We start from the raw sequence: 14594 nt of genomic DNA on the forward strand, positions 1-14594 counted from the left end.
TTTATAAAGAAAAAGAGGTTTAGTGGATTCCACGTGGCTGGGGAGGCCTCCCAATCATGGAAGAAGACGAAAGGCATGTCTTACATGCAGCAGGGAAGACATAGATAGATGTCTATGTCTATGTCATAGATATCTGGAGTATAGCTAGCCCTCACTGGGAAATGAAACTTTTGTTATAAAATGGGGTTTTCAATTTTCCCCTTTTATATGAAATCATGACAACAAAACCATCTTAGTAATTGAGGTTTTAACTTCTCTAGATTTCACTGAAACTGTGAGTGTTAGTGATTATGACTGATGCCAAGTGGAACCATTTGGGGGGCTCTCATGCCTGTTCTTTCTGTGTTAGACAGGACTATGAAGAGCTAGAAAAGCAGCTGAAAGAAGTCTTTAAGGAGCGAAGCACCATTCTTCGTCAGCTGACAAAGACATCAAGAGAACTTGATGGAATTAAAGTCAATCTTCAGGTGAGATGAGAACTCATTTTCCGAGCAGTAAAAGAGGAGCAGTCATCTGATTTTCTGAGTGGATTGACATGCATTTTTAAATAGTTTTTAATGTGTTTCTGGGCTTGACCATGGTGGTTGTTACTTACTATTATATGTGCCCTAAACGGAAATGTCATTTGAAATATAGTCTAGGAATCTGTGTTTAACAAATACAGAAATGGGAAAATTGTGTTCTTGGCAGAGCCATCAATTCCTCAAGCTTCTAAGATCAGTTTGACCCCTGTGTTTTTGGTATTATAAAATGACAAATTATGATCAAGACTTAAATAAATATAGGAATGACTCCTAGAAGAGAATTTTAAATTCCCCACGGGATAATTCTTAAGATTCTTTAATAAACCACATTACTGAAATAGGTAAATGCCTTTAAAAGGCAAGTGGCATCTGTAAAAAACATCTTAACATACTGAAATCTTTAAAAAATTCTACATAGGGTAAAAATAGTTTCATAAATATTTGATAATATATTGCAATATTTGACATAAACATTGTATTTATTATATCCTGTATGCTAAAAGCTTTGTATGTGTTACATGGTTTAATTCTTGTAATGTATCTATGAGGTAGATCCTATTGTGACATCCCTTGTTACACATGAGAGATAATGTTTAGGAAAGATATGTTATTTTTGAATGTTACAAAAGAAGCCAGAGTTTACATGTAGACAATCTAGCTCCAGACACTATTAGTTACTGAACTGAACCATGTTTTTAAACCATGTGGAGTCGCTTCTGTCCACACTCTTCTCCTTAGCTTTCTAGTCCCATTAAGATGATAATAATGATAATGATGATGATGATGATGGTGGTAGTGGTGGTGGTGGTGGTGGTGGTATTAGTAGCCACTGAGGCTTATTGAACATGGTCAAGGTCCAGTGCTAGATACTCTTTCTACAATTTGTATTTAATTTTCACATGAAGACTGTTAGTCACATTTCATAGGTGAGAAAACAGAATTAGAGAAAAGTTAACAAACTAAGAGTGCACAGATAGTTAAGGGACAGAGCTGGTATTTAAAGTCAATATCTAAGCTCTTCTTCCAGAAGATGTGTTACATATGGAGAAGATGGAAACGAGAGCAAAAAAAAAAAATTATACACAACCCAGTAGGACACAGAGATGGTATCAGAATGAAAACAGCGCAGGAATCATCGTGTTATGATGGAAGCATGCACAGAGCATTAGGGAAAACTCACAAGGATGAAAAGAAGTACAGATTGATTTCTAGTGAAGCCAATGCCTGAGTTTGTGGTTAAGTGAAAATTCACCAAGTGAATAAGACTGGGAAGAATACAAAGAAACCTGTACCTTCTCAGAGGCATAGAACACTTGACACATTGAGAATATTGAAAGCATATCGTGAAAGGCCCAGATGTGATCAGTATTTACAATATTCCCAGAATACTCAGCCTTTCTATGCCAGTAGCCAAAGGCAAGACATCTTATAACAGTCTAGAAAGTTGCTTGATACCAATATACAATTTTATGGAGCTACATTTGCTGAAAGGATAACAATCCTACCACTAAACATAACTGCAGTTCTTAAAATGCCTTTTGCTTATTTTTTTGGCTGCCATTGTGCAAGGCTGATTTTGTGACTTGTGCCAGGTCATAAGACCATGATACACTTTGAACTTTAACTCCTGTGAATGATTATTTTTTTTACATTTTAATTCTTCTTTTTGCTTTCCTTGTATTTATGTGAAGCTACTGTTTCATATAAATAAGATTGTTTATTGATTGCTTCCCAATGATAACCTCAGCCAGTTACAGTAGGGAAGAGGTTTGTCTTGTAAAGTTCATCCCACTTCATTCCTGTTATAATACTTATCATACTACATTAAAATTGTTGATTTTCAACATTAGATTAAAAAATGTATGAAGGCAGGTACCATGACTTTGCGTAGGTCTTTGCATGATTCATAATAGATATTTGTTAAATAAATATTAAGTAAACAAGTGTTTGCCCTTTTTGCTATTGTCAGTTCCCTACCAGTCACAACTATTCTTTTGCAAACAATATTCTTGCCTCTTAGTTTTGACTTTAATGCCAAGAATGACCGGTTACCCTATTAATTAGTTTATTGAATATAAATAAGAAAGTTATTAGAGAAGGCTTAATAGGATAGATTCTCTTGCAAGAAAAAGCTCAGGAGACTTTTCTGCTGTAATTCATAGTCTCTGAATTCTGAATTTGCCAGAGTATATAAACACTAAGGACTGAAGTAGTATACATAATTTATTGTTAATATTCTGTCTATAGAGACCAGTTACAATTTTACATGGCCTTGTTTTTTTGTGTGTGTCTTAATGTATTACTCATAAATAAGAAATCAACAAAACCTAACAGGTGCATGCCCTTTGACTATTTTAATCTTGAATTGTGTTATTTCCTGACTTATGCAGGGAGGTTTGCTATGTTCCCTAATATTTGTAGAAGCTGTGCCAGACCTGGTCTAACTTGCCTGCAGAGAACACAGTAAAACTTCAAAGAATGAATAGAAGATATGTTTTTTATTCACTTTTAAAGAGACCTAGATATTTGGAGAGTAGTTTCTCCTCCATCGAACCTCTGAAAGCCAAGACTGCTCAATTCCTTTCAGCCACTGTGTAGTTGGGTGTCATAAATTTCTGTTTACATCCTTGGAGCCGTGAGGACCATCATAGACTCATTTTTAATTCTTGTTCCAGGGCATATGTGCAGTCCTATCTAGTACTCTAGAACCAAAGTTAAAGTGAGTCTCAATTTCTCACCTGAATAAAACTTCATTTTTCCACTTTTCTTATCAGTCCTTAAAAAACGATGAGCAGTCTGCCAAAACTGATGTTCAGAAACTTCTGGAATTAGGACAGAAACAAAGGTAAGACTTTTCTTTTTTTCTTAGTTATTTCTGCCATAGTGTCAAGCAACATTCAGAAACTTCACAAAATTTATTGATTCTAAATATATGAACCTATTTATCTTTTCACTTATACTTAAATATGCATGCAATTCACTTGGGAATCTTGTTCAAATGCAGATTCTTACACAACTGGGGTGGGCTTGAGATTCCACATTTCTAAGAAGCTCTTTGGTGATGGTGGTGCTGATGCTTTTTGTCTGCAAATAACAATTTGAATGTTAGGGAGGTATAATACTTTCCTCAGTTAGTAAGATGGACCCAGGTAAGTCTGACCATCAATAGACAGATTTGATAATATTGACCTAAATGGACCATGTTTAATACAATCCAAACTTGATCATGGTAATAATGATGTGGTGGTAAAGAATGGAATTATCTTACTAACAATACAAGTAGAATCAGTACAATATTATTAGTATTGGTTTGCTTATTTTTGAGGGAAGCATATTATGAAATATACTTGTGTAAATTATAAAAAGCCATACGATTTTTAAATTGCTTTTCCAAGCCAAAAAAAGAAAAACAAGTATTTTAATATGGAAACAACTTTACGTCTGCTATACACTTACTAGCAGCCCTTCTAGTAGGTTTGTATATATTTTCTTGTTTCATCTTCACAACTACCTTGTGAAGTGGCTATTATTCCCATTTTGTAGATGGCAAATTGTTGCTCAGAGTGCTTAGTGGAATTGCTGAGAATCACGTTAATTGGAATTTAGATTTAAAATCTGCTCTGTCTTACCCTACAGCTCCACCTTACCAGTTTGGCTCACTGATCACAACGCAAAAAACTGTTTCAAAGTTTACACACAAGATAGCATGTGGAATAGATTCTAAGTCCCTTCTCATCAGCCTATATGTCCTCCATTGACCTTGGTTCTAAATTCAAAACTCTATTATTGACATGCATTTGGATTGAGCCAATGATATCTATTAAAAAATATAAAATCAATTGTTTTACATGGACTCTTATTATTATTTATAGTGACATGTTTATTATTTATTTAATGTGAAATTCTCTTTAAAGTCTAATATTAAGAAAAACTTGAAAAGAGCAATCCGAACATGTTTCTGAAACAATATTATTTTAATTATTTCATTGGTTTGAAATAAATCATGCTCAATATTACACCAGTATTTGTGGCTCTGTGAAGTAGTGATAGAGGACATAAGCAACATTTTGAATAGCAATAGTAGAACATTATTCAGTCGGAAAATAGAAAATCTTGTCATTTGTGACAACATGGATGAACCTGGAGGACGTTATGTTAAGGTAAATAAGCCAGGCACAGAAAGACAAATACCACCTAATCTCACTCTTATTCGGAATCTAAAAAAGTTGATATAAAAGAACTGGAGATTAGAGTGGTGATTACCAGGGTCAGAGGTAGCTGGGGAGAGTGTTGGTGGTGAGATGTTGGCTAAAGAATATTAAATTTCAGTTGGTAAAGAGGAATAACTTAGATGAAATTAGTACATGATGACTATAGTTAATAATAAACTGTATTTTTTAAAAAAAAATTTTAAAAAAACCATGAAAAGAGACCAAGAGATGCTGAAAATGATTACTTTATTTTTATAGAGTATCTCAGGTTAGGAATGGAGAATAAACAAAAATAGAAAAACAAAAATTGATTTCTGCACAATACATGTGCAGCACCCAGTGAGAGACTGAGGAAGATATAGTGAGTTTGAGAAGATTAGAAAATAAATCTGTATGTAAAGACAAAAATAAAAATGGCTAAAAGATGGCATATACTGGATTTCAGTGATAATAAATAGGGAATCCCTTTTAGGTAGCTCCATAAGAAATAATATAATTAAAGAAATCTTTTAGGGGAAATATTGTGTTATTTCCTGGCTTTTAGGGAAATTACTCTGTCAAACCCATTCAGGGTAGAAAGAAAAATGTAGACCAGGGTGAGAAAACACTACTTAGAGACAAGGACAGGGAGATCTCAAGAGTTAAGACAATGGAGTAAAAGAAAATAAAGTCAGCCTTTCCTTACTACAGGAGGGACGCGGATGAGGAGACGGCTTATGCATGATGTGAATGAAAACCTATTCTCTTAGTTTGTTGATATTTTTTTAAAATATCTATGTCTGATTCACATGACACCAAAAACAACACAAAAATCAGGAAAAAAAAATGTGAATAGGTGTTTAAGAATTTTAATCATCAAGTGTACATGTGGTAAAGTATATAAACTACCAGATGATAGAACAAGTCTTTCAAAGAGAGGGTAAAATGGAGAATATTTTGGTCTTACTAATTCATAGTTTTATCTAAAATTAAAAACTTGTTTAAAATGCATAACTTGTATTATATACACAATCAAAGTTAGAATGGAAGACTCAATAAATTATAATAAAAGGTAACTTCTCAAAAGGATATAAGATGTGATGCATTCGTTTTTTGCTGTTTACCTAAAAAGAGAAATATAAAAATTGTGTGTATATTATGGTAAAAGAGACTGTGTGTCTCATTTCAAAATCTGACTTATTAGTAAACATTAAAAGAGAAAAAATATCACCTTTGGTTATCAAAAATACTGATTTATTGCAAATTTAAACATCTTCTCCGAGTTTGAAAGAGTGCAGTGTGCTTGCCATTGCCATTTGGTCACATCCCTGGCTCTCAATTATTACCTTGTTTTCTGTTTGTCCTCAGATCCTTGTCATCTGGCTTCATCTGGACTAGTGATCCCTAGAAGCCAGGCTTCTTTTATGTGACTCTGAAACCACTGGTCATAGCTGATGATTCAGAGGTGGCCACCGAAACAAAAACCAATCAATTAGTGTCTCCCTTTGGAACTGTAACGTAGAGGCAACTAATAAGTCTTTCTGTGTAGCTGGAGCTAGGCTGTAAGTAAATTCAGGGGCTATGCTGTGGCCACATACAACTATGTGGAGAGAAAGTAGAGTGTCTTTCTAGCAAGACAAACAGAGAAAGGAGTGTGTTTGCATGTATGCACTTATGTGAGAGAAAGAGTGAGAAAATGAGAGTCATGTTGGCTTGAGCGTCACGTTTCAGGAATATTTACACAGCCTTGATAATATTCATAGGAGATTCCCCAGGTGAATGGAGAGATTTTAAACCATACCATGCCAGGACTGAGAATATATAACCACAACAAGGAGAATAAGAAATAGGACAGGACCCTGAAATGTCTGAAAATTTGAAAATGTCCTTGAGCAAAAGAGAATAAAACCTTTTATTCTTTAAGGTGGTTGGTTGGTAGATTCCCAGAAGGCAGTTTTGGACTCGGTATACTAAAGCACTTTACAATAATGTTCTCGAAAACTAAAACAAAGCCTGGAATTGTGGCAAGTTCTTGATCTGTGATGTTATTAAAATATAAGCTGATAGTCACTAGAAAGAAATGCCTTTTTGTAGAGTGATTAAGGTGAGGGTGTTTTTATAGCTATAATTTGGGATGAAAGAGGTGTGGAATAATGGTCCTTTAAAATTCTTTGTAACACAAAATGTTATGCTGAAATATTTCAATATTTGAGCTATCTATCACAGGTGTCACTCGAGCCAGGAATTTTTTAGAATTAAAGTTTCAGTTTAGTACCAAACAGAGCCCTAGAATAGCAGATATAGATTGGGCAAATCTCAGTTGGTATTGGGAAGTGGTGCAGAGGCAAGTCAGGAATCATCTCTATAGGAGGATAACTTAGCAAGTCTTTGAAGCAGAAATCTATAGCTAGCTAAAGCACTAGAGCAGTGAGCATGTGAAGACATAAGCCTAGAAAGAAGGCAGAAGGAGAGATGAAGAGATATAGAAGACAAAAAGTCTACTTTACCTTTCTGCCTGATAGTGTTCTTTGGCAGGAAAATATTCAGAATTCTCTATCTTTTCCAGATTTTACAATTTGTTTTTTGTCCTGTTCCCTAGATTGCCTCTAGATGTCAGAATGGGGGATTTTTTTGGAAGAAATATATAGATAGATACCTACTCCCACACATACATTATCTATCTATCTATCTATCTATATTTGTAAAAATATTCATACATACTCATTGTCATTTTAATAAAACATACTTTATTATTTAATTTTTAAGTGTTTTATGACCATCTTTTAAAAATAAAAATGAGAATTTTAAATTAAAATTGCTTAAAAATTTATTATTTTGTCATTTTAATTATAACTTTATTTTCAGTAGGAAATATAATTTTATTGTGTTTCACTCAGTGCTTGTTGAAGATTTGAGTGTTTGGGATAACATGTAGGTCCTTCCTTCCTTCCTTCCTTCCTTCCTTCCTTCCTTCCTTCCTTCCTTCCTTCTCAGTAGAGATAGTATAGTAACTCTTTATAGTTTGAGCATATAGACACTAAAACACAATTTCACTACCCCTCTATGCATTTGTTATCTGTCATAACATGAAGTCATAGTTTGGTGTGGGGTTTACAAAAGTGTCTTGCACATTGTAAGCCTACAATATATGTAGGTATATATTATATTATACTACAAACACTCTATGGAAAATATCAGAAATAATAATGGAAGCCCAGATTTTATATGTCCATATATGAAGAAAGTCTGATAAATGAAACCAGTTTGAGACAGTGATGGAAGCTGTCACTCAGAATCCACTTCAAGCACATTAAAAGCATCACCCAAGAAGGCATAAATCATTTAAAAACCAAAGTGACTGTAATTATTCTATAACTTGTTCTCACTATATTTTGATTTGTCAACCAAAGTCCAAAATGATTACAAAAAACAGACAGACTTTCTTTCTCATTCTTGAAATTGGGACTTGGACATCAGTCTCAAGGCTAATTAAGCTGGCAGCCCCATTAAGTCCTGCTGGGTGAAAGAGCAGCTTATGGTTGTGTAGAACATCATGGTCAGAGAATGAACATAAGGGTGTGGAGAGATGTCAGTGGTTATTGCCATGACCTAACATTTGTTAAGGAATTCTTTCATAGGCATTGTGTTAAGTGCTTTGCTTACGTTCTGTCGTCTTAATATGAGCACAAACCTATAAGTTAGTTCTACCATTGTGCCCTTGTTTTTGGATGAAGAAATTGAGTATGAGAGGGTGTGTCACTTGCTCAAATATCCAGAGCTAATCTTTTGGCACTAGATTGGAAGTTTTAAATTAGTTTAGGTGCTGGTAAGACTCAAATAGGTTTCTATTTTGTTGTTGCTATTGCTTTGAGAGAATTTCTGTAGCCAGGAATTGCCACACATACAAACACAAACAAGTACACTAGCCTTTATCTAATATCTGATCTATTTGAGGTGATAGCTCGAGTAAAAAAAAATCAAGGCACAGAAAGATAATATGATGTGTTATAAATAAATAAATCCTAAATCCTTAAGAGAAATGCAAATTTAGGGAAACATCACTCTTTTTAAAAAGGGAGACAGGATCCTTATGTGCTACTGAGCTTGAGACACAATGAGTATATATGCATAGGCATGCATTTTTAAATTATCTTCATTAAATGAGACAGGCCTTAAGTTAAAATAAGTTTCTTTTCCCTGTTTTTACAAAAGATGTCAGGCCTTACAAAGGATGTATAAAGCACAATGCTTTAGAATTAATTAATTAAGAGCATCAGAAGGGAACAGTAATTTTATCCTATCAGCAAGTCTATGGTGACTTTTTCTAACCAGCATGTTCATACCCCAGTATGCTGTTAGTGAAATTATCTTTTCAACTTGAATTATATATTGCTTTGATTTAACACATCATGTGCCTCACAGATGATTCAAACGTGGGATTTTTATAAAGCATAATAGTAAGGTTATTTAAAAAAAAATCAACTTGCTTTTAATATTTGCATGGGAGAGAAAGCCTTTTATTACCAGAATCTTTAGACACATCCTGTATGCTTAACTGTGGCTTTATGCACTTCTAGTTGTCTATGTCCTAAATGTATACAGCAAAGCTCCTTCCTTTTATAATGTTCATAGGAAATAATGGAATTATATTATTTTCTCACTTATGCTCTGTTTTCTACTAAAATAGAGAAGAAATGAAGTCTCTTCAGGAGGCCCTGCAAAATCAGCTTAAGGAGACATCAGAGAAAGCAGAAAAACACCAGGCTACTGTAAGTGTGTTTCTTCTTTGTGCCTTTTGCTTTTGGGCTGGGACATTGTTACTTTCTTTTTCCAAAATCACTATGGAACAAACACACCTATAAAAAATAAAAGTGAAAAGACAATAAAAGAAGCATCAGTCAATGTGAACAGAATAGTACTTGGTCAGCTTTCATTCCTGGAAAAGGTTAGTGTTTTATTTCATTATTAGGGGGTCGTCTAATTCCCAGCCTACTTTAAAGAATGAGAAACTAAAGGACAGAGTGGGACAAGAGTTCTGGTGTCAGGGCTTCATCAGTGGCTCTCACATTGTGGGACGTCACTGACTGTGAAGTAAATTAAGCTAAGTGATAGTTAAGTCGCACCCCACATCCACTGAATAAGGATCTCTCAGGAGCAGGGCCATGGAATCTATTTAATCCATCCCACGGGTTATTCTAATGCATCCCCAAAGTTGATGAATCAAACTCCTCTCCTGACAGCAAGAATTGTGAGAAATAAAGTATGAAACAAACTTTCTCACCCGAAATGATGTTCCCTTGACCCCACCGTTTCAGCTCTTACTACGAATATTTACCACAGGCAGGAGGGATGGTGTTTCTGAGAGCCATGCTGAAAACTAGGTTTCTACTGTATTCCCCAAAGCCACCTTACGCACCATGTATAGGGATTGGACCTTATATCTTGTTTTCAAGATCTGAGTCTGTTTTAAAATATAGTGTGTTAATTGAACATATGAGGTATGGTAAGGTCAACAGATCAGGAAAGACTCCCACTGAAAACATAGCTTATTTCTCACAGTTCTAGCTGCACACCACAGAGGGGCCACACGGGGAGGCACCCAGGCTGTTCATGAGGCAGAGGGAGAGGAGGAAACTGTGGGTAAGAGGCTTTGTTGTGGTTTCTGAGGCAATGAACAAGTGAGGCAGGATAAGTGGGCTTGGGATCGGATAAATGGGCTTGGGATTGGCCAGTTTGAGTGATTTTTGGTTGGCTTTGGGGCATAGCAGCTGTCCTGACTTATAACCTGTCCCTAAGGTGATTAGGGCAACTCCACAGTGGCCTGAGATAATAAAAGGGGGGCAGTTAGGAGTGTTGTTTTTCGATTGGTTGTTTGTATTTGAAAAGTGTGTCTCTGGGAGGAGGACTTCTCACCTCTGAGACGTTGGAGCATCAATGAGAGAGTCCAGAACTAAGGCAGGGTGGCTCAAGCATATGATTGGGTTGTTCAGAGCAAGGCTGATCCAGCACATCCATGAAGAACAAATGTTAAAGCATCAGATTTACAGAAGCTAAAACCGTGGTGAAGCCTAAATCTCCATTTAGGTCAATTACCTGGAATCCTAGGCTCTCTAAACACAGTCAGCCTGCCTTTCTTTTACAAAACTTCCTTTAACAACCTTGATTAAAATGTGGAGTTTTGCTTCTGAAACTCAGTCCAGTCTGTCATCTGCAACAGCTGATTTCAGGAACAGCCTTTCCAACAATGATTGTTGACTTTTCAAAGTACAAAACTGTTTCATGTAAGGATTCACTGTTATCTGTTCTGTTCACCTGTTAGGACGGGCATGTGGGTTCATTGCTATGCCACGGCAACTCTCACTGCTCACCTGAAATGTGGCCTAAAGTCTGGCTCACTGGATACCAAATGTTACATAAAAGAATAGACATATTTTTAGTATCAGCTTGTCGATCCCTCCTCCCAACACCGGACCTAGCTTACTGAATGGTCCTAATTGCAATCACATTTCTGCCGTGACTAATCATATTTAATCTGAGTTTCTTCATAGCCTAATGACAAACAATGGTAGAGCAGAATAGAAGTGCTCACACAGACTATTTTCTCTGGTTCTCATAATAAAACTACATTGTTTGTTTCTTTACTGAAAAAGAGTAATTCAAATAACGTGTTTCTAGCTTGTATTTGCACAGCTATAAGCTAAGGCATGAACTCATAATTATTCCAGTAGATTATGCAAACTGTCTGAGATCCGAAAAGAAGAGAGTTATAACTTTTGAAAGAGCACAAACCAAAGTTAGAATATCCAAGTATGACAAATGTCATGGACAAATAATGTAGACTGAGTCACCTTTGCCTTCATCTCAGCGTGCTGGCAGTGCCTTCCTTATGGCTGAACACTGGATCTTGAGGGAAGCTTTCTCTTTCCCCCCAAAATTCTTCACTAAACCAGAAACTTCCTAAAGAAACTCATAACTTAATATGTGCTTCAGAGTAAGAGTGTTTGGGATTTAAATTTCTAGTAGGCCATGTACTAATTCTGTAAATTTACTAGCTCATTACCAGACTTGATCAAGCTTTTTAACTTCTGCAAGTTTCCTCATTATCACATTTAAGGGGTTATTCACATTAAATTAATGTACATAATCTCTCTAAAATTATATCTGGCATGTAGTTGATAGTAGACATTAAACTAAAGTCATTCCCCTTCCTTCTGCACTTCCCATTTTAATTTCATCTTCATCCGTTAGCTGAATGAATATAAGCAAGTCATTTGATTTCTCTGAGGCTTTTTCATTGTAAGAAGTATGTCAATGGTACTAATGTAACAGGTTATTTGGTGGTTATATGAGATGATGCATGCACTGTTGAGCAGAAGATGTAATCAATTATAAGCAACTTCTAAGTTGTATCACATAATCATCATCATTATTAGTATTTTTTCTTCCTAACCATTTAAAACCTTTGTTATATGATAATATTGTGGTAAGAATTATCAGCGATGACAGAATGCATACCTAATAAAAGGACTATTAAAATAATATATTCAATTGTTCATACTTTAGGATGTTCTATTTCCTCAACTCTATTTACATTACTATTCAAAATAATTTTGTTTTGCAATTTCTGCATACTGCTGCATAGATTTTCAATGGCTATTCTTAAAAGCCAGCATTGAAATGTTTGAGAGTGACCTCGGGTTCTCAGAGACTTACAAATGGTGTCTTTATGGGAATCAGACATATTACCTGTCTGTCAGTGATCAGGGGCAACACAGTGATATTTTTACTGTTATTAAAAACTACTAGATGGTGAGGTTTTTCACCAAAGGCTTGCATTTTCTTAAATGCAGACTATTTCTTTTTTATTTGGTATTCCTGTTAATTTCTTTTTTTATTTTCCATAGGTCATTAGGGTACAGGTGGTATTTGGTTACATGAGGAAATTCTTTAGTGATTTGTGAGATTTTGGTGCACCCATCAGCCAAGCAGTATACACTGCATCCTATTTGTAGTCTTTTATACCTTGCCCCCCAGTCACACTTTCCCCCAAGTCCCCAAAGTCCATTGTATCATTCTTATAACTTTGCGTCCTCATAGCTTAGCTCCCACATATCAGTGAGAACATACAGTGTTTCGTTTTCCATTCCTGAGTTACTTCACTTAGAATAATAGTCTCCAATCTCATCCAGGTCACTGCAAATGCTGTTAATTTGTTCCTTTTTGTGGCTGAGTTGTATTCCATTATATATATATGGTTAATATATATATTATGGTTAATTATAATTATAGATATATATTTATATATATTTATAAATATAAATATATAAATGTATATATATTTATAAATATATATTTATATACATATATATTTCTATATAATATATACATTTATATATTATATATAAATATATACATTTATATATTATATATAAATATATACATTTATATATTATATATAAATGTATATATTATATATAAATATAATTATATATTTTATATATAAATACATAAAAATAAATATAATTATATATATATATATATATCACCATTTCTTTATCCACTTGTTGATTGATGGGCATTTGGGTTGGTTCCACAATTTTGCAATTGCGAATTGTGCACTATAAATATAAGTGTACAAGTATCTTTTTCATATAATGACTAATTTTCCTCTGGGTAGATACCCAGTAGTGGGATTGATGGATCTAATGGTAGTTCTACTTTTACTTATTTAAGGAATCACCACACTGTTTTCCACAGTGGCTGTACTAGCTTACATTCCCACCAGCAGTGCGAAAGTGTTCCCTGATCACTGCATTTATGCCAACATCTACAGTTTATCGATTTTTTGATTATGGCCATTCTTGCAGGAGTAAGGTGGTATTGCATTTTGATTTTGATTTGCATTTCCCTGATCATTAATGATATTGAGCATTTTTTCATATGTTTATTTGCAATTTGTATATCTTCTTTTGAGAATTATCTATTCATGTCCTTAGCCCACTTTTTGATGGGATTCTTTTTAACTGATTTGTTTGAGTTTGTTGTAGATTCTGGATATTAGTCCTTTGTCAGATGTATAGATTATGAAGATTTTCTTCCAATCTGTGTGTTGTCTGTTTACTCTGCTGACTGTTCCTTTTGCTGTGCAAAAGCTCTTTAGTCTAATTAAGTCCCAACTATTTATCTTTGTTTTTATTGCGTTTGCTTTTGGGTTCTTTGTTATGAGAGCCTTGCCTAAGCCAATGTCAAGAACGGTTTTTCCAATGTTATCCACTAGAAATTTTATAGTTTCAGGTCTTAGATATAAGTCCTTAATCTATCTTGAGTTGATTTTTGTATAAGGTGAGAGATGAAGATTATTTCATTCTCCTATATGTGGCTAGCCAATTATCCCAGCACCATTTGTTGAAAAGGGTGTCCTTTCCCCACTTTATATTTTTGTTTGCTTTGTCAAAGATCAGTTGGCTGTTAAGTATTAGGGTTTATTTCTGGGTTCACTATGATTTCCATTGGTCTATATGCCTATTTGTATACCAATACTATGCTGTTTTTGTGACTATGGGCTTATAGTTTGAAATCAGGTAGTGCAGAACCTCCTGATTTGTTCTTTTTGCTCAGTCTTGCTTTGGCTATGAGGGCTCTTTTTTGTTTCCATATAAATTTTAGAATTGTTTTTTTCTAATTCTGAGAAGAATGATGGTGGTATTTTAATGGGGATTGTGTTGAATTTATAGATTGCTTTGGGCAGTATGGCCGTTTTCACAATATTGATTCTACCCATCCATGAGCATGAGATATGTTTCCATTTGTTTGTGTCATCTGTGATTTCTTTCAGCAGTGTTTTGTAGTTTTCCTTGTAGAAGCCTTTTGCCTCCTTGGT

At 34.7% G+C, this 14594-nt stretch overlaps 1 protein-coding gene across 9 annotated transcripts in view; it reads left to right on the forward strand.

Moving 5' to 3' along the window:
- Positions 1-14594, forward strand: part of LUZP2 (leucine zipper protein 2) — a 585586-nt gene that overhangs the window by 231767 nt on the left and 339225 nt on the right. For 6 of the 9 annotated variants that reach the window (NM_001009909.4, NM_001252010.2, XM_047426868.1 and 3 more), the window contains exons 2-4: positions 350-467; positions 3299-3369; positions 9402-9483. In NM_001009909.4, coding sequence (NP_001009909.2) covers positions 350-467; positions 3299-3369; positions 9402-9483 — 271 coding nt within the window. The remainder of the gene's footprint in view (positions 1-349; positions 468-3298; positions 3370-9401; positions 9484-14594) is intronic. The other 3 variants (NM_001252008.2, XM_017017648.3, XM_017017649.3) reach the window with 1 other exon arrangement.

This window comes from Homo sapiens, chromosome 11, assembly GCF_000001405.40.
Source record: "Homo sapiens chromosome 11, GRCh38.p14 Primary Assembly".
Lineage (NCBI taxonomy): Eukaryota > Metazoa > Chordata > Mammalia > Primates > Hominidae > Homo > Homo sapiens.